This window comes from Homo sapiens, chromosome 4, assembly GCF_000001405.40.
Source record: "Homo sapiens chromosome 4, GRCh38.p14 Primary Assembly".
NCBI classification, from domain to species: domain Eukaryota; kingdom Metazoa; phylum Chordata; class Mammalia; order Primates; family Hominidae; genus Homo; species Homo sapiens.
In genome coordinates, this window is record NC_000004.12 from 42403213 (window position 1) to 42425183 (window position 21971).

Genomic DNA, 21971 nt, shown 5'->3' on the forward strand with positions numbered 1-21971 from the left:
GATTAGACTAGTTTTATTTATGTTTGTAGTATTTTGGTCCTTTTAATGGTTTTAAGGTTACCTTATTAAAGCTCTTATTATGAGCCAAGCATTAAGTATTAGTATGTATTAACTTATTTTATGCTCTAAACAACCCCAACAGAAAAGTATTACAATTCCTATTTTAAAGATTCGAAAGCTGAGGCACAAAGGAATGAAGCAACTTGCCCAAGGTCCTGCAGCTAGTCTGTACTGGAGTTGATATGCATAAACAAACAGATCCAAACAGCAACGGAAGACCTGCTTTGAGATTTTGATGGTTCTGTGCACAAAATTCATCGGAGATTTTAAGAGCATAAGCCTAAGTTTCGAAGGCAGTGATTCTCAGCCCTGTTGGACCCCAAAATGAGCTCTCCTTAGAACAAATATTTTGTGACATCCCTTTATGAGTCCTAAAATGAAATTTATAGATAACTCACTACACACATAATTTTTAAAAATCAATACAATGCCCCAATGGTGAATAGAAGAAAGAAAGGGAAGTAACTTATTTCTAAATGTAAAGGTTTGGGCAGACTTAAAAAAGACAGATGCTAACCCCTTATTCAAAATCACCATGATGTGACAGCTTCAAATCCAGACGGATGCAGTTGGTAATTCTGGCAACTCAAACACAATCGCACTGATTTCATTAATGTGATTTTTTCCCAGCAAAGTTTGATCATCCTTTGATTTGCACAGTGGCTGTATATCTGAAGAATTCAGTGTATACTAAGGCAGTGCAACAAATATAGGTAAAATGGGATTACGTTTTTTTTTTCACCAGTAGTAATGGTGGACATTCCAAAGTCATGCCGATGGACATCAAGTCTTTTTTGTTGTGCGGGCTGCTTCCATGCATTGTAGGATCTTGGTTACAACTGAGTCCCCCTCAGTGAATGCCAGTAGCACATCCACCTCCGCCCCAACGCTCTAATGCGGAAGATTCCCCCATGCAATTCCACCACGTCCCCTAGAGGGTGGAACTGTCCCCACTGAATACCATCTAGTTGCCAGATTTCTCTAGTAGCTGTACTTTTATTTGTCATCCCTTTGGAGAACAGTTTATGTCCATTAGACAAGTTAATGCTAAGGAATTCATAGAGAGTTCACATCTGCAAATTTCCCTTCCTGAGCAGGATGCCCCAGTCAATTTAACTGGCCATAAATTGTTTAAAATTAGAGAGATGTTGTGTACCTCATTGCAATATGGCATTCAGTGATACTAGATCAAATCATATCACGAAGTAATTATTGATATGCAGTACATGCCTTTGACCTTCTCTCTGGAAGCCAGGTAGCTGATATTATTATTCACAATTTTAGGTAAAAAGCCTATCTTGTGGCAGATTTCTAGATATTGTCCCATTCAACAATTCTTTGCTGAACACCACTTATGGGTCAGGTGCTGAGTGAGATGAATAAAAGATGATTAAAATGCACTTCCAACTCAAGGAGCCCCCAGCATCATGACAAAGACAAATACTTGTGATAAAATGTTATAGATGCTTTATAAAAGAAGCATGTTATCTTTTCCTGCTCTTTGTGGTAACTGCGATTACAGGGGAGTGCAGGATACCCTGGCAGCACTTACAAAGGACACTGTTCATCCTGGAGGTGTTGACATTGGACCTGAGCCTTGAAAGACATGTAGAACTTGAATGAAGAAGACAGGGCAGAGAAAGAAAGAGAAGGGGGCTGGAAATAAGGGAAAAAATATATCAGGCAGAGTAAAGAATTCATAGAGAGGCACAGAAGCACCCACCCATGAGCCTGAAAGAACAAGGAACATTTAAGAACCCAGAAGAAGGCCAGGAACTGTGGCTCATGCCTGTAATCCTCACACTTTGGGAGGCAGAGGTGGGTGGATCATGAGGTCAGGAGACTGAGACCATCCTGGCCAACATGGTGAAACCTCGTCTCTACTAAAATACAAAAAATTAGCCGGGCGTAGTGGGTGCCTGTAGTCCCAGCTACTCGGGAGGCTGAGGCAGGAGAATGGCATGAACGCAGGAGGCAGAGCTTGCAGTGAACTGAGATTGCGCTACCGCACTCCAGCCTGGGTGACAGAGCGAGACTCCGTCTCAAAAACAAAAACAAACAAACAAAAAAAAGAATCCAGAAGAAGAGTGAGGCTGGAGAGAGAAGTGGGGGCAGATTAGAGATCTTGAACACCATGGTATTTGAATAGATGTCAAATGCAAGAGGGAGTCTGGAAGGATTTTACAGGGGAGGGGATGGGATCATATCTCCATTTTAGAAAGATTAGGCTGCAAAGGTCAAATAAAATCTTTTGGAGTTTCCAAGGAGCTGCTCATCACAATCTGCTAAACCACCAAAATACAGCAGAAACTTGTCTGCTTTTGTTACTTTCAGAAAGAATTTGAATCCAACATCCTCATGCCACGATTATTGTGAAAAATAGAAGTTCTGCATTTTGAAAGGTCGTTATGCCAATAATGGATAACATTTATTAAGCGCCATGTGTGTCCCAAGTGCTTTATGAATTGTATCACTGAATCTTCACAACCCTGAAGAAGGGATTATCATCATGCCTATCCTGCGGATGAAGAAATCAAGGCGAGAAGGTTAAACACTGTGCCCAAGGACGGATAATACCATAGGGGACAGATCTGAACCCAGGTGGTCTACTTGGAAATTCTACATTCTGTGTGACATTAGACCTAGGAGGTCTAATTTTGTGAGGAAAACAAAAATATCCAATGTACTTTTCAGAAAATCTATTGGGGAAATAGTGATCAATTGCATCATATTATACATATCCTATTGATATCAGGGGATTGTAAGTCACGGAGAGCTTATGCTGCATTATGAAAATGTGGAATAAAATAAAGCATGAATAAAAACACTAGATGATAAATATTTCTCCCTTTACACATGAGAAATGGGATTCCAGAGGGTGATTGAGCATGGATTTTGAAGCTGTAATGCTTGGGTTAGTTTTCTGGCTCTGTCACTTAAAAGTGGAGTGACTTTGGGCCACTTAAATTCACTGTGTCTCAGTCTTCTCATTTGTAAAATAGAGACATTAGTACTACCTTTTTGCTTATGGTTGCCTTGAGAAGAAGTTACAGACACTGTCTCAGGTCACTTGCATTCTAGTGGGCAGAAAGCTGTGTAGTAAGGATAAATAACAGAAAGCAGATGAAATACTTTAGAATAAAAATGAAAGGCTAAGTACTGCGGGAGGGCAGATATCACTGTTGATTAGGGGTAGGGAACAGAGAAAATGGTCCTACAGTTTGATCAAGTAAGTCCTTGATAACCCATGGGCCCCTTTGGTACTTGGCCAACTTCCTGCTCGTCTGGAATAGGGCATCCTCTCATCCTGTTGGGTACTCATGGTCTGTACCTTTCTTTCATCATCTGCTTTAGAGAGCACATTCGTAGCCAGGTGTGGTGGCAGGCGCCTGTAATCCCAGCTACTTGGGAGGCTGAGGCAGGGGAATCGCTTGAACCTGGGAAGCGGAGGTTGCAGTGAACTGAGATCGTGCCATTGCACTCCAGCCTATGTGTCACAGTGAGACTCCGTCTCAGAAACAAACAAAAAAATAACTGTTCCTTTGAGACAAATTTATTTTAAAATAAATGTGCTTTTCTAACCAAAAAAAAGCACATTTGACATAGTAAATTTGCTTTAAAATGGTTATGTTCCAAAGTGAACAGATTGTACACTTGTCCAAATGGATAATTCCTTATTTTCCCCAGCTGTTTTATTTTTGTTATTATTAGCTACTTCTCATGGTGGAGAATTTACCAGGTTGACTTGAATCCATAGGAAATTTTCTAAACTGAGATAATCAAAAAACTTCCTGAAAGTAGATACAGTCACAACCAGGAATCTGACAAATTTCACTGGGTTGGCATCATTTTACCTTTGCATAATCTAAAATATTTATTTAGTATACGTTCAGGAAAACTAATAATTTACAGGCATGTTAAACTATTAAGGGAACAAACTGTTAACATATTTTTGTATGTACATGGCTATTTTAAAATTGCAATTAAACAGTAGTTAATGACATTATTCTGACAGGAAATCCTTATTTAAATTGCTAGTTTCATGACTTGAAAGTAATAAAAACTGAATGGCAAGAGGTATTTCATATTTTCCAACAAATTTTATTAGCCTATTCATGAAATTATCCAGGTTAGGAAGACCTTTCTTCATTAAAGTGAGGCAGTTCTGTGTTACTGAAAACTTTAGAGACGCCCTATGCATACAAAAACAAAATTTAAATGGAGATGACATATTGAATTTATGGAAATGTATTTCCAGTTTGCTTTTTGCTTATGGTAGTATTAGAAGGCATCTTAAAATACAGGTCAGTGGAAGCACGTGCTTATTTTAAGGAGAATGGAGTTGAATGTGAAAATTATTTGATAGAATTCAGAGGTAACATATCCATGAACTGTTTTGCTGTGGTTTTGCATGGAGGTCCCCACCCAATTGTCGTCCCTGGGAAGACTGTGGGAGAGGACATGGGGCTCCAGGCAGGTAAGCACGCATGGTCTCAGTCTAATAAAATCAGATGCTCCTCAAATTGCCTCTCCAGCGCCTCTTTGAGAACTAATCCTATTCTAGTAATTTACCTAATTGTATCTTCAGTTGTTTCTCTTTTACCAAAGGACACTTATTTTTGCTGAAGTGATTGTTCTTATTTCTGATGCTGTCTATACTTTTGTCTCATGTGCTCAATTTTATTATTTTCTGGTTACTGCCTTCAAATGTTATTGGCTAAACTTGAGCACTTTCTCATGAACTTAAAACAGTTTAGTTGGTTTAGAAAACAAATTCATCCAACATAAAAGGTTGAAACCATGAATAGGCTGTTTACTTGCAAGCTGATTTAAATATGCAACAGGGACAATCCTGGGAGGCTTTTCGTACTGAAGTGACAAAACACAGTAATTTTATTAAAAAATTCTGCTAATTATAAAAACTACCCATCTTACCAAACTAGAGTTAATACACTCCATTTCATGTTTTATTTAGCTGGATTAAAATGAAGGGATATTTTATAAATCACTGGGATACACCTTCTCAGACTAGTTACTGCTGGATTTGAAGGTTTTAGAAAGCAATATAATTTCTAGAACTAGCAATCAAAACTTCAACAATTTTAAGTAATGGTAAAGTTTATTTCATTTTTAATAACAATTAGAGGACAAAATGTTTAAAATTTGCAGTTTAAAACATGCACATTCACAAAAGGCCAATGACACATAACACTGCATAGAAATAATATTACTCAATTTTAATAACTATAAAACACAGTGCATCAAACATCAAGATAAACAAACCTGAGAAAACTACTATAACCACAGATTCAATACTCTCCACTCATGCAGCTTCACAATTTCTACAGCAGTTTCAGCAGGAATGGTTTTTCAGGGAGCTGAAAATACTACTTTATCTTTAACGCAAAACTGCAGTTTTCTGTAGTAGCTGCCTTCCAAGGCTGCCCTGTTTTTCTTAACCTAATAAACTTGAAAATGTAAAAAATGACGATTAAAGTAGTTAAACAACAGATAGTATTTACTGCATTTATGGCTTCCATTTAGAACCATGAAACATAAAAATATTATTTTTAACTATTCTGCTCACATCTTTGCAAGAACAGATTTACCTGTGGAAAGTTGCTGTTAATTCAAAGTAAGCAAATATGAAATCTAGCTTTCCTACTTAAGGGAGATTTATTTGCTGAGAAGTTTTGGGAGCTTTATTAAGAAAAGTTCTTAGAGGCAAGCTAAACAAAAGATTCAATTAAATTTGTTCAAATTTCTTTGTAAAATAATCTACTTATTAAAAAAGTTGTGCAGAGGACCAATTAATTTGTCTACTGAATTTTAAATTCCAGGTAGGCCGTGATAGAACTTTACAAGGCAGAAATAAACATCAAGATTTACAGCAATAGCCATGCATTGGCCTGGATCACTTTAAATATGAACTCATGCAAACCATAAACCTATCAAAAACACAGCTGTTCTCATACAGAAAGTAAATCAAGACGAAATATGGAAAACATTTATTTCCTTTCCTTCAAAATTTAACTTACATTCCACTTTAATAGCTGTTGAAGGTTAATTAAAATGCAGCAAAGTATAACTACGTTACACAAGTGACTTCAGTTATTTTAATGTGAGAAAAATCAGACTATGGTATCTTACGAGTCATTATAGAAATGTTCATCATTAAAAAGCATTTATTAGGCACTGAACTGCATGATGTTACCTTAAGTCATTTACAAAAGAATTCCTGGTCCATGTGATGTGAATGGGCTGGGCACTTTCTCCATAAATTTTGTAGATGACTATTTGTAAGATTATACACTTAATAGGTTTTAAAACCAGGAACTATCAAAGGGCAACTGCACAAAAATAAACACGATTATTTAGCTTTGTAGTAATTATGACATTGTCATAATTTTAAAACTATGAATAATACAATCTATTACTTTCTGACTAGCATTCATTTCCCGAGAAAACATTTTAAATGACAAGTTGTAAGTGTTGTACAGTGCACGCAATGCAAAACAAATTATCATGTGACTTTCACATTGGATATTTAGAATGCTGAACGGCAAAATTAAAGTATAAAATTTAATGATCAGAATGCTGACTGATTTCCATAATTCATTTCCCCTCTGGAAATTAAAGAGGAATCACTGATTCCATTTAATGACCATACAATTCATGTAAATGGCTAACATTATTTAGCAGAATACACATTCACCTGACTTGATTAGAAAAAGTTTTCCATTAACTTAGCAACACTGCTGAAGCAGTCTCACATTAGAGCACAGAGTGGAGGTGGGAGGACGGGAAGTACATATATCATTTAAAATTTACAACGTTCCTGAGAAACACTGTTTTCCTAATAATATCTACAATATAACATCTTTCTGGGTGTGAGACACCAATATATTTTTATATGTATATATAAAACATTTAGAAAGTCCATGCTCAATACCACTGTATACTATTCAACATTAAAGAAGCAACTTCCAGCTTTTCAATGCTAAATGAATGAGGATTTTCTATTATAAGTCGTATTGTCTGAATTGTAAACATTGTAAAGCAACTGTGTTAGCATTTGCCAGAGTCCCTATAAGGAACTTTTTAATTGAAGAGTACGTGCCCTTTATTTCAAAAAAACACATGTTAAAAGTCACATTGACTGTTTATTTCAATCCTGGTAAAACCATGTGACTTTTTTCCAGTTAAGGAAGGTTTAAAAAATCAGACTATTTTCTCTAATTTAACACTGTAAAGTCACTGCAATTGCAATGTTATATTTTAAGTTTCACCAAGAAGGTCATTCCCTGTCCCTCAAACCCCAAGTCTCACCCAGGAAGCAAAGAGACTGACAATGTCAATAATTCAAAAACAGGACGATGGGACAAAGAGGCTCAAATTAGTCACATTTCAGATCATGTTACACATTATCAACCGTAAGTATTCTTCTCATGTTTAAGAGCTCCACAGAAACAATCCACGTTTCAAGATTAAAATAAAACTTACATTTTTAAGTCAGAAAATCCAGTTCTATTATATCCATAATGTTTTTATATTAAAATTCTGCAGAAGGGTGCCACTGATGAAGTGAGCGCAAACAGAAGCAGCTCTTCTCTATTAACAGAATTAAACACTACAAAGTGTTTCTCTGGAGGGGTGCATTTCACTCTTGCTTTCTTATTTTTTGTGGTTTGACCTCAGCTATCACCACTGGGAAGCCCAGGAAAAGCTGCTCTGAATATTCATTCACTGGACAGGTAAAGACTGGGACTTCAGAATTTTGAAGACGATCTTAGACTCTTACACCTGTGGTCTTGCTAGATGTGTTGATTCATGACTCTCTCAATCTGTACCCCAAACAGGAAGGGCTTGGGAAGTAAAGTATGTAAACGTGTGTTCCCTTAAGGTTAGAATTATGTATATGTGTTATAACCTCTTATTTGTAGAAAATGGAGAGGCATACTGGTAACTAAGGAGCTACAAATACAGACAAGGAAATGACATATATCCTAATTTTAAATCTAGATTGAGAAAAAGGGTGAAAAGAATGTGAAAATATTAAACTCGAGAAGCGATCTGAAAAAAAATCACCTCTTCTCAATTCTAGTTGACTTTTTTTAAAAGAGAAAGTTCTACCTATTTTGCTGGTAAGTCCATGTAAAGGCAAGCAGGCTTTTGAGTAAAAGGCAAATAGTTTGCTTCAATCTCTGAAGTGTATCTGAAAACTAATTCCTTTTTTTCAAATGAAAGTATTATTTAAAAAATAGTGTAGAAAACTGGTTGTGGTTTTTAAACAGCCCCTTCATTTACTGTTGGTAGCAAAATAGCCATTTTCAGATGTCTTGTAAATGCTGAAAATAATTGAACTGAAGATACATTTTAAAACATACTAACAAAAGCTACTCATGATGAACGTGTCCTCTGACTGTAAAGTTACCGGCCTGAGTAAAATCCGCATTTTTTAAATGGGGAAAATGTACTACCTATTTGTCCCAATAAGCAGCATGTGACGAATTTTGGGAACTATTTGATGAGTGAACTGTGAAATAATTTTCAGTCTTCAGTATAGGGGGCAGTCACCATAACACTGGGTGTGCTACACAAGACACAGGCATCTCTAGTGGGAACTGGAACACAGGACAAAAGCCCATGCATTTATCTGACATGTTATTCCAAATATTGCAACAGAAGCTTTGGAAATCCCACGTAAATACGTAGCATATGTTTCTTAAGAGGAAAAACTTTAAGACAAAATGACATCACTCAATCTACTGCATTAGCCAGATTTTTAGAAAAATCTAAATGATGATGAAACTTCATCAGAAATACCTGAAACATACATAGTTTGAAAAATCAGTGTCATAACAACAGAGTCACATTAACACGTGTGTCCTCTAACAAATAAACACGACAAACAACAAAGAAGCATTTGTAAGGCCAAAGGTGCAACATCACCGATTTTAGTAGCAAATGCCTTGAAATATTCATTTTTGTAAATCACTCTTACATTTGGAAAGTCAGGCATGCAGATCTTACAGCGGAACTGGAAGTAAACTTTCTCTTACATTTCTGGGCATATGACTACTGAACTAGAAAAACACTTACTGAACCTCTTTGGCAAACATTTATCAAGACAATTTTGGACACAAATGCTTGTTTAGAAATTTTGCTCAGGAAGGTGAGTCAGTTCCTTAAGAATGCTGGTTTGTTTCAGCATATCCTGAAATCTAAGTCTGGATACCAAGAGTCCCTTTAACTAAATATCATTTAGAGTTTTTTAATGGTTGGTTACCTTGTGGTACAGCCAATAAACTGACAGTCAGTTACAGCCCCACAGTAATGGCATAAGAATACTGACTTATTCTCCGTTTAAGAAAGCCCTCTGGCAAGATACCAGGTCATTTTCAATTTCCGTTTACAAAGACTTAGCAAATACCTTAAAAAAATCCAAAAGAGATGGTGTTACAGTACAGTTGCACAGTGCTTATGTCTATAATATACATGAATCTGAATGTCCATCAGCGAGATGAGCTCAGATCTACCTTTCCTCTTCATGGACCAGACTGGAATTGGTTAGCAGACTGCGGTGACAACCTGGTAGCTCTCCTTAGAGAGGTAACAGAGCCTGCCTTTCAGGCTCTCCCCATCACCATTCGTCGGGCCTCTGTTTCGTGGTATCATATGCTCTTATCACTTCAGACTGTGAAACGATTCCATTTTCATCTTGAGAGAACGCATACCCATCTGTAGGTTAATGATAAAACAGAAATTCTCACAAAGGCACTGGAAACCACCGTTATTCTGACTTTTGGGTATTCATTTTCTAGCCTGGGGAACAAATGCAGCCTTCCCACATTCAAAAGCATGGAGACACTGATTTTTAATGCCTAGAAAAGATACAGACTTAACTTCAAAATAAAGAGTGGGATGATCTTAGGTTGCCAGTTTAGATTCTAGGTATTCTTCTCTCTAGAAGACTGAGTAGGCACCCTCAATTCCCCTAAATCCTCTGTCCCGTAAGTCAACTCCAACTCTTCTAATTTTTGCTTCCCCAATTCTGGAGGGGGTGAGGGAGTTGAGTCAAGTGGGCTCACATATTTCCACATAGGTCAGGTGGATGAGAGGAAAGGAAAAGTGATATGTAGGTGAGGTGGTGAATAATGTAATTGATTCAACCATCCCACCATGTACGGTCCCTTGGTATCTGTGGGAATGGCTTCAGGGACCCCCTTAAATATCAAAATCCACGGATGCTTAAATCCTTTATATAAAATGGCACAGTATTTGCATATAACCTACACACATTCTCTCGTAGACTTAAAATCATTTCTAGATTACTTATAATACTTAATACAATGCCCTCACATCAGTTCATTCTAGTGGATTCAATGTAGTATTTCGTCCATGGCAAGTTCAAGTTTTGCTTTTAGGAATTTTGTGAATTTTTTTTTCCCCCTTGAATATACTTGACTCACAGCGGGCTGAATCCACAGATGTGGAACCCACTGATAGAAAGGGCCAACTGTACATCAAAACATCACCTTGTACTCCATAAATATAGACAATTATTGTTTGTCAATTTAAAAAGGCGAGGAGGAGGAGATAAACACAAATAGCTGCTCATGGTGGCAAGTGGTCTCCTTCCTTCAGAGGACATTCCCCTTGGCTCTCAGCATCACAAATAAACTCACTCACGCCCCGACATGGCATGGGCATAAGGAATGGCCCCCAAGGGGATCACATCTTTAGAAAAGGCCTCTTGAAGTATAAAGAGCAAAAGCATTAGACATGAGTATACGTAAGTGAAAATAAATTATAAGTGGAAACAACATGAAACAAAAGATATATTACTCACACAAATACATTTACTACAGGGCTTTACATTTTATATTCTTTTTTAGATCTTGAAATGTTAAGAGGGCACAATATCTAATAATGTCTTACAACTCTAAATATTCATAAATATTTCTGAAGGGGAAAATATATGCTTCCTTGTGTTGTATGAAAGCTGAAAGGCTCTTGCAAAGTTATTCAAGTAGAAAAGATAACAAGACAGGGGCAGCTTTTAAGAATTAAGATTTACTGGCTTTAAAGAAAAAGATTTGAGGAAGCAAGGAATGTGGAAATACTGTTTTTCTTTAAGTGAAACAGCAAGATTTTAAAATTAACTATCTCTTCTGTTGAAAGTGAAATGGTTCTGACCAATGGATTTTCTGTTATTTACAGGTTACAAATATGCAAAACTTATTTTAGACATTAGTTTTAAATAAATATCCCTAAAGTCAGGATACTGTATAAATGCTATGATACAGCAATGGCAGAGAATTTATTTAAAAATAAGAAACTCAAATACTCACGGAGCAGATTTTGTTGCAAGGATTCAGAGCGGTACAAGTTCACGTGGTTCTTCTTAAAGACGTTCTTGAGCAGTTGCGCCCTCTCGGTCAGGCTGCAGAGCAGGTGCAAATGTGTGAAATGAATTATCAACTCGGCAGAGACCCCAGTGTGCCCACAGGACCACCAAAGAGAGTTAGACTTAAACAAAAGATTGCTCGAGAAATCCGTAGCCTAGTGATTCTTTTTACACATTTTCTCAGATAGCGAATGAAATTTCAAGTATTTAGACAGACTTTTGAGGCCATTTTCTCCCTAAGGAGTTTGGTCCCCAATAATCCTTCTCCCAGTAAAAAGTAGGATCTCCTCACCACCCCCCACTCAGTTATATTTAAGTCAAATGGCAACACAGAGCCAGTATAACACAATTAAAATAAAAAAATACAAAACAACAGTAGTGTTATTCACTTTTAAAAACTGACTACATATATTCTAAGCATGGCAATTTTTAGAATAAAAAATTAGTTATTACTATTTTTTTCACATTTGGCACGTTTTGGTATAAACTATTTTTTAGTTAAAAATATTAAAGTAAATATTAACTAACATTACACAAAGAAGACATTTCATAGACTTTTTAACTAGAAGTTCACTACCACTAATATGGTATGACATGTGTTCCTTAATTTTATTTTAAAATAAACTATTTTCAGAAAAATAATTATGGTAGGTGAAATAACAAGGAAAGTATTTTTCAGGAAGTGTTTAGAATAGTTGTCTCCTCAGATACAAATCCAGATAATTATGTAACTTCTAAAAGCACATTGTAAAAAATAAGGCATCTTCTCCCCCAACTTCCCATAAAAGTGTCTCACACAGTAGAAACTCAAATATTTGTTGAATACGTGAAGTTGAGTAATAATTCTGAAATGTACTTATAGACATCATCCATCTTCCAAATCATGCCATTTCTTCATTGTTTTATAAAATTGTTTTGATATTAAAGAACATAATAGGCATGAGAAACAAATAAGTAATCCATATGTGTTGCAGCAAATGTTTATGCAATTTTAATAACTGGAACTGATTCAGCTGAAAAATTTCCATCTTGTGTTTTTCCCACTATAAAAGCTTTAGTTAAATTGCTGTGTTATGTTAGTTCTGTATTTTGCCAATTTTTCTAAGACCCTGAAATGAAACAATATCATATACAAAAAAAGGATCCTCTGCAAAATGAACTCATTGTGTAAATGAATTATGCAAACATTTAGGCAAAAACCGAAGAAAAAATATTTAGAAATGTTAACATTTGTAGTAATCTTCCACATATATATTTTAAAGTCTAGGGAGGTTAACTGGTATTATTGGACATATTTTATTGTCATTGGAAATTAGCTACATGAAGGCAAGAAAACTAATTAATCTAAAACTCCAGCAGTTCTGCAAATAGTTGTAAAACTTGTTTCTGTCAGTGAAATAAACAGATATGAGAAATGAGAAAGGGCCATTTTTACAGAGTTGCTTTCTTACTCTACTCTTTAAATGATCTAGCATTACAGACCCATGGACCCTGAGGGACACTAAAATATGTAACTGCTTTGAGGAAGTCGCAGCTTTAGCAGCAGGTGGTCTGACTTCCTTAGCAGAGCCTTGTGGATGGGGTGCTGGAAAGTCTTTGGTGTTTCAAACCGAAATGACTACGGGAGACTAGAGGATGGCAATGTATCATTATGCAGCATCTTCTTCCCAAAAGACATTTTCCAGGTTTCAGGCTGGCCTTCCTAAATGCATAATACTTTAATATTACAATATTAAAGTGGTAAGAAGGCAGACATGAGAATTTAGTCTTTCATATTACAGCAACTGAAATACATAAGGTAACATAATTCCGTTTTGTACAGTTCATATAAAGGCTCTCATTAGCTCTTCTTTTATATCAAGTTAACGTACAGCATTAAAACAAAGCAGTAAGAAAGTCTCTTTCTTAAGAAAGAAGCACATTACTCAGGAAAGATCATGGGCTCTGGAGTAGGGCTTTGGTTTAATTTTGCGTTGGCTGCTTATTAGCTGGGTCACCACAGGCAAGCTTTTCTCTGTCATCTCCTATATATCAGGAGGGCAGTACTTAACTCTCAGGCAGACTGTGAGGATGCAGGGAGCTGTCAGCACAATGACTGACACTTAGGAAGCACTCAACAAATGCTGGGCCCTCCCACCTTTACCCCCAAGATGCTGAGAATTTATTATAAAAAATCAACTAGAACAGAGATCATCACCAAACAAAAGGTACTTTGTAAGGAGTATTTTTGATGCCTTGGTTTCTAGTCAACATAAGCGCAAGGTGAGATGTGTGTTGCTGCACATGGGTTTTAGTTTATAATGTTCTCATTCTACCTCTTTACTAAGAAAATGACTAGATTTTTGTTGTTTTGTTTTTCCTTAGCTATTTTGAACTTCTTGCTTTAGTCCTGTAGAGCAGAGTCCCTCCTTCAGAATATAAATGCCATTCACAGGAGGTTGCTAAATAAATAAGTGATGATGAGTTGTATTTCTCTAGTCTTATCTTACACCTTTGGGGAACTACTCATTTCAACATCTATGCAATTCTGGGCCATCAATGTTTATAGATACTGATACTACTATTAAGGCACATTATAAAATATATTTATGCTAACACTAATAGATATATTAAAAGTTCAGTTTTAGTGGAACAGCTTAACAGTGTGAAAAGACAAAAAAAAAAAACACTAAAGATACCTTCTCACTAAAACCACATTTTATTCACAACTCTTGACTAGCAGTTTTACGTAGTCTCTTATAGTCTTTCATTTACATACCAAGCTATGTAAATTTTGAGTTTGTTTAATGCAATCACACAACTACTACTAAATATTGTTACCTTATTTCCAAACCCACTAAAATGTTGCAATTTAAACATTTGGTGGAGGTGAATATAAAGATAACATGTTTAAAATAATATTTCAAATACTAAAAAATGTCAGTGTTGGTAAAAACCAATTCATGGTTCTGGAATGTGTTGGAACGTGTTGTCTTAAGGAATTTTCAGTGGGAAACTTGAAGAGGAATAAATTTGCATTTGTCTACATATTGAGTTGATAAGCTATTTAGGTTGACTCATTAAAATAAATCTCCAAAAAGTACGTAACTATCCATTCATGGAATGTTTAATGTATAGCATGCAATAGCTGTCCTACACTAGGGTAGCTGTGGTGGCGGAGAAACAAACAATGAATATAACAGGCCTATCTCTGCCCTGGAGCTGAAAACATTTCAGTGTTCTGTCACTTTTCTTTCTGAATGTTGGACAGAACCATTACCACAGTGATGAGAGAAGGCTGAAGGAAACATTTGACAGATCCCTGTGTCCTCAATCCCCACCAAAGTATTTAAGTCATACTGATATAAAATCGAGTGTGAACACTGAGAAATAAAATTTCCTTTCTACTAGTTCTGGAGCAAGGTTAAAACTGCTTTTCATTAAGATGAACAATACATCAGAAAGGTTAGAGAGAGCACTGTCACCATCTACACCACCGAGTTCTCTGACACCTCATATTCCCTACTCTCCCTGCATGCAAAAGCTGTAAACAATGGCCAAACGGTAGTGCCAGGCAAATCAGTGAGGACTGACCTGAAGATCCTAGGCTAAAATTCTATTTAGTAATGGCCAATGATGATATGCTGGCTAATATCTACAGTGAGAAATAAAAAAGAATTATGAGTCTCATTATTGTATTTGCCTATGAAATGCACTGCTTCACACATACTCCAATGATATCCAAAAATAATTGTCCTGCCTCCAATGAGCCCACAGTGTCCATCATTTCTTACTGTAAACTTTTGGATAAGGTTTAAATGTTCAGGACTAAGATTTGGGTTATTTTACTTTTTTTAAAGTACAATTTCCGTTTTATTTTTCTCCAGTGGACGGTTTTTCCTCAGTTCTTAAGAACTCAGCTCCTCACATGGACTTTGGTAGAAGTCATGAGGCAGCAAGGTTTGGGTTATTTTAAACCTTCAGGAGTAAGGTTTAGGTTATTCTCTCATCATTGTAGACTTGCATTTATTTCTACCATAACCCATGGCTCAAAAGCATGCGTATTTAGAACATACTTAGATTGATTAAACATATTTTTCCCCTAAAATGTAATAAAATGAATCTAATTTGCAGGGTAATATGGTAGGTGGCATACTATTTCCACTAAAAATGGCTGTTTTAACCAAGATGATTTTTTCTGAAAATGAACAAAGATGAGAAATTATTGTAAATATTAATCTTCCTTAAGTGCTTACAATTTGTTTTTCTGACATTTGCATTTTATACACAACTTGAGTTTAATAGTCATACTTACTGAAGATTAAAAAAATTGGGGATGATCAACTCACAAGATCTTTCTTAAGAACTGCATCATTGTATGACAAAAAAGTAAATGATGGTTGCTTTGGATATTACCTAGTTTGGGAAGTACAAATTATACAATTCTATGTTTTTATGAATCAGATTTCTGTTTCACAGCCCACAGGTCAACCATCAATTCAACAATCCTTTCTCCTACTCAGCAATCCTTTCGCCCACTCTTTCTTTCATCCATTCTTTAGTTTATTCTCTTAACTATTCCGTTCATCCACTCAACAAGTATTTACTGAGTGCTACTAAGTTCCTGGTGCTGTACCAGGTGTTGCATTGCAGCTATGACTAAGACATGGGCCTCTCTAGAAGCTCAATCTAGTAGGGGGAAAATAAAAACATACATAGAGTAAACTAATACTTTATAATGCAATGCGATCAGTGTACCTATAGAAGTTTATACAGAGTATAAACAGAGTATAATAGTACAGAGATAGTAGGCTAGGAATTAAATATTGTGAATGCAAACAGCTGAAAAAATTGAATCTACATTGGGTTTGGAAAGCTGGGAATTGGAGTGCCTAGTCTGTAAGAAGGGGCTCCCAAACAGGGGAACAGCAAATGCAAAGACTGGAAGATATAAAATAACATGGTGTTTTGGAACCAAAGAAAGTCTGGTATCATTAGAATTCACAAGAATCACAATTTCTTCCCTTTTGATAAAGTAGATATAAAATTTGCTAAGTTTTGGCTGGGTGCAGTGGCCCACGCCTGTAATCCCAGCACTTTGGGAGGCTGAGGCGGGTGGATCACGAGGTCAGGAGTTCGAGACCAGTCTGGCCAACATAGTGAAACCCCGTCTCTACTAAAATTACAAAAAATTAGCCGGGTGTGATGGCGTGTGCCTGTAATCCCAGCTACTAGGGAGGCTGAGGCAGGAGAATGGTGTGAATCTGGGAGGCAGAGGTTGCAGTGAGCCGAGATTGTGCCATTGCACTCCAGCCCGGGTGACAGTGCAAGACTCCGTCTCAAAAAAAAACAAACAAACAAAAAAAAAAAACTGCTAACTTTTTTTGAAATCTGAAATCAATGTCATTCTCCAAGATTCCTAAAATAATCCAGGGGGTAAAATCAATCCAACAATTCTTTAACCTTAGAGTGCCATTACTTTAAGCATGAAGATGTTTCCATCCAGTTGCTATTTTTCTCCTTTCACAGATCTTCCCCTTGCCTCCCTCCTCCGGGCACCTGCCATCAAGCACGAAGCCACTATGGTTACACTGATCATTAACCTTCTGATCACCAGTGGGCGGCAGTGGCAACATGGAGCACATGCTGGTCCAGGGTTTTTTGTCTGGTATTCAGCTGATAGCTAACACATTCCTGAGTTCTTAGGAAAAACTAAATAGCTATTTTAGGCAAATGAGCGAGGCAGCAGCAGGGAATTTATCTGATGCATTTCCTATGGAGAAGTTGGTGGTCATTTATGCTGGAATTCACTTCTTTCCTTTTTGGGCTCTCTGGCTTATTTTATTTAACAGAAGGAGCTACATATATTACGGAATCACTGAATGTTTAGGACCTGGGGGTCATTACACTGGCCTGATTTATGAATTGAAGTCATTGGTAGACAACAAAAAGACAAACTAAGTATCACGTGGAAGGGCTTAATGTGATTTTATTAACATACTTACAAATCTGGAAATTTACTACTAAGGATAGTAACAGTATTAACAGTGGCCTTTCCCTAATAATTACGAATACATTGTTTTATTCACAATTTCATGAGCTAGAACTCTTTTTTTTTTTTTTTTGAGACAGAGTCTCGCTCTGTCACCCAGGCTGGAGTGCAGTGGCATGATCTCTGCTCACTGCAAGCTCTGCCTCCAGGATTCACGCCATTCTCCTGCCTCAGCCTCCCGAGTAGCTGGGACTACAGGCGCCCGCCACCACGCCTGGCTAATTTTTTGTATTGTTAGTAGAGACGGGTTTTCACTGTGTTAGCCAGGATGGTCTCGATCTCCTGACCTCGTGATCTGCCCGCCTCGGCCTCCCAAAGTGCTGGGATTACAGGTGTGAGCCACCGCGCCTGGCCAGAACTCTTACTGTATTCTTTTTATCGCTAGAGAAAGAGAACTGACATAATTAATTTACTAGCTGAATTTACTGACAAACTGCAGGTACTTTCCTATGAGGAATCCTGTGATGCAAATTTTTAGATGAAGAAAAAGGTGGAGGGAGGAGGACACAACCCTGAAAGTAGGTATTATCATTCCCATCCTGTACACTGGGATGCTGAGTCAGAGATTAAGTACTTTGTCAAGTTAGTAGTAGGCTGTTTTTTGCAGCTCTATTATATTTTTGAACAAACAGCAAAAGGAGGCAGAATTGTGAATGGTTCAGAGCAGGAGCTCTGGGATCAGCTGGCATGGACTCCAGGCCCAGATCTGTCACTAACAACTTTGGGAACTTCATCTCTCGAAGCCCCAGTTTCCTCATCTGGAAAAAAATGGAGATGATGGATCTGTATAGGGTTGTTACTGGGATTCAGTGAGATAGTACACGTAAAATGCAAGGGAAGCACCTGGCACGAAGTGAGCGCTCAACAAAGGTCAGTGCTATTATTTTCAAAAAAGTGGCACACACTGGTGTGTGATGTGTTCCTTCAGCATAATGAGAGCAAGAGAGCTGGAAGCCAAGGTCTCACTGAGTTCTGACAACTACTCCATTGTGTCAAAATGGATAACAACAGTGAATCATGATTAAGGTGACATATACTAGGGTAAAATATTTCCTATAGTTTAGCCAAAACCTCAGCTTTAGTATGATAAAAATGAAGAAAAAAAATAAATTCCTCCTCCTATCTTAATAATTGTCTTTTATTATAGACTGCAACTAATTATAATTTCTTTCTTACAATGCTTTGTGAATTTAGTGGATTTGATTAGCTTTCTAACTTTCCTTTTTTTTTTGGAGGGGGTGGTGTAAGGAAGAGAACTTGGGATAGGTAATTCACTTCATATATGATACATATCTAGGTCAGTTCCTAATAACTACTGAACCACAAATGCAATTATACAAGGTAATTTGCCTTATATCAAACTATGATTTTGATTACATACTATTTTTTTTTCTGAGATGGAGTCTCGCGCTCTGTTGCCCAGGCTGGAGTGCAGTGGCTTGATTTCGGCTCACTACAACCTCTGCCTCCCAGGTTCAAGCTATTCTCTTGCCTCAGCCTCCTGAGTAGCTGGGATTACAAGTGCCCGTCACCATGCCTGGCTAGTTTTTGTATTCTTAGTAGAGATGGAATTTCACAATGTTGGTCAGGCTGGTCTCGAACTCCTGACCTTGTTATCTGCCCGCCTCGGCCTCCTAAAGTGCTGGGATTACAAGTGTGAGCCACCACGCCTGGCCAATTACATACATTTTATTATGGATACTATTTCAAGCTAAAAGTCTTTTTCTTCTCTTGCAGTTTAATAATACAATAATGTTTGTAACTGCCATTTATTTAATGCTCATTAAAGACTTTGCACTATGCTAAGTTCTTTATAATACTTCATTCAACTCTTACAACTAACCATGAGGTAGGTATTATTGCCCCCATTTTATTGATGAGGAAATTGAGGCTCAGTAGGATTAAGCAACGTAGCCAAGGGCACAGTTTAGAAAGCGACAGATTTAAATCCACATGTCTCTGACTCCCAAACCTGCCAATGACACTGCCAGCTTGATGCTGACAAATACAAGTCTTATCACTTATTTCCAACCACTAGTACAAGATAAATTTAAAGTTCATTTGGAAAAGAATATATTCACTGTGTATTTTACCTTTTTCCAAGTACAACTGCTCCTGGGTCTTGAGATTTTGCCTCCAGCTCCTGAACTTCATCGACCAATGTTTTAAAAGCAGTCCTCTTGATACTGCAAAAAGAAAAAAAAAGGGATTTGCATGGAAATACTTCTGTGAAGATTTTACAAAACTAGATGTCTGGCTTATTATCACGCGGTTGATAAAGCACAATGGTAACAAGAGTACAAGCAGTTTTTCAAAAGAATCTTAAAAATTACCGTAATTTTGAGAATATAGAAATTATAGTTTTAAAAATAAATGATGGTTTAGGTTTACAATATTGAAACTCCCATAGTTATTTAAATAAATATCATGTAATTAAATTAAATGCTATCTTTTTTGTGGGAAGACATAAGATTTTAAAATTTATAACCCTTGAAAAAAATTAGTAAGGTTTTCTTTTCTTTCATTTTATATTTTATATATGTTTGGAATCAGGCAAGCAAAACATTTCTTTTTATAATAAAAAATGTTTTTGGAAATAGTACAATTTTTCTTTTACTTTTATATGAGTTTTGGGGCTGTTTCTAAAAAACATACTCCCCGATGTAATTTTCTCCAGTGCCATTTACTTTTCTCTGTTAACTGAAACTACCCGCTTTACTACTCATTTCGTCTTTTAAACTAGTTTTCTAGTTCCTGAATCACCCCTTCCTTATTTAAAATTAAGTAATATTACCAGTCCCTATCCTGCAAGCTCTACATGCTTGAGTTGATGTTACCAAGAGAGAAATCTGAGGATGAATATGCATCTATATTTCTCCGTATATAACTGAGTATATACTTACACCTTGTACACCACATCAAGGAGCAGAGATGCCACAGGGATGAATAACAAGCCCATCCAAAAGACTCCAGAACTGAACAACATGGCTGCCTGTGTAAATCGTCAGAAAAAACATTACTTTAAAACCAAAAAATACATGATTTGTGTTTAGTTTTTATGTATTTTTAAGTGAAACAATTTTAAGAATATCATTCTGTAAGAGAGTATACAACTCTGAATTCGAACTTATGAAATTAACTTAGAATATCAAAATAAATCTTTGAGCAAATTTAAAATATACTCTGGATTAAATTCTCTTATAAGATATGGTGTAAAATAAATCATAATTAGAAACTAAATTTACTATTTCTGGCAAATGAAAATTACTTTTGTAAAATTATAGGATATTAAAAATTATCCAGATAAATCATGACTACTGTATAATCAAATTAAGATACCTACAAAAACAACAATTTGATTATTTTTGGCTAACATTAGGTAGTAATAATCTTAATTTTTGTTCAATGATTTATATAACTGGTATTGGTGCATACCTGTTATTGCTAAAGTCAAACCAAATATCTTGTATGTAAAAGCCAAATAAAAGTGTATTAAAAATAACTTTAATAATTTCTTTGTAATAAATACCAAATTGCTGTATTAGAGCCTTTTGGGTTGCAAAAAAAAATGATTCTGTAATTTAAAAAGTAATAAATTCTATTATTTATTTGCAATTATAATAAAAAATATCTTTGTAATATAATTAGATTACACAGAACTTAAAAGGAATAGTATTATACAATAAAAGCAAAAGAAATATTTTGGTTTCACTTCTTTTAATCTTTTTATCAAGAGGAAATTTTTAGTACCTATTTAAATCCATATATGTATTGTTCTAATTCCATTAAAAAGTAGCCAACTAACGCATGCACATTTAGATTCTACTAAAAATCATGCAAAATTAAAAAGAATCAGGTATGGTTCAGGAATTAAAAATAACCTAGAGTTTAATTATTCTAGGCAATTTCAAAATTACACATAAATAGTCCTAATCAATCAGTCCTTATCAAACATAAACATTTCTAATTTTAAATTATATTTCAGATTACTTATTCATTTGGACTCTCGATTAAGGACTAGGAACTGCTGTTTAAATTTTTTCTGCATTGACATGAGCTTATCGATACAGACCGCAGGTTCAGGGACGCTAAGATTTTTCGCTATGTAGAAGTGAATAGCTCTGAATACTTTTAAAATAAAAACATGCTATTACAAAAAATTCCAGAAAATAAGTTTTGCCACATGGGTTCAATGAAATAGCACCAATATTCGAGACACCAACAAGATGAAAAATACTCACATAAAAGTCACTTTATTTAATAAGCAAAACATGATCTTTGACATGTTTGCTGACATCCTCAATGGTGAAAACCAACAATAACTGTGTAATAGGAAATGTCTATCAAGTCAGTAGATTTTCTTTAGATTGAAAGAAGCTTTCTAGTAAGGTAACAACTGTAAAAAACCAATTTCTTTCTCCTTCTGGGGGGAAAGGTAAGGTAAGAATTCCAAGGCATGCAACTGAAAAT

At 36.1% G+C, this 21971-nt stretch overlaps 1 protein-coding gene across 10 annotated transcripts in view; it reads right to left on the reverse strand.

Moving 5' to 3' along the window:
* Nucleotides 1-5160: 5160 nt before the first annotated feature.
* The window catches only part of ATP8A1 (ATPase phospholipid transporting 8A1), a 248733-nt gene continuing 231922 nt past the window's right edge, over nt 5161-21971 (reverse strand). For all 10 annotated transcript variants that reach the window (NM_001400027.1, NM_001400026.1, XM_047449508.1 and 7 more), the window contains 4 exons: nt 20405-20493; nt 19595-19687; nt 11415-11506; nt 5161-9801 (listed from right to left, as the gene is read on the reverse strand). In NM_001400027.1, coding sequence (NP_001386956.1) covers nt 9704-9801; nt 11415-11506; nt 19595-19687; nt 20405-20493 — 372 coding nt within the window. In that variant the 3' untranslated portion in view covers nt 5161-9703. The remainder of the gene's footprint in view (nt 9802-11414; nt 11507-19594; nt 19688-20404; nt 20494-21971) is intronic.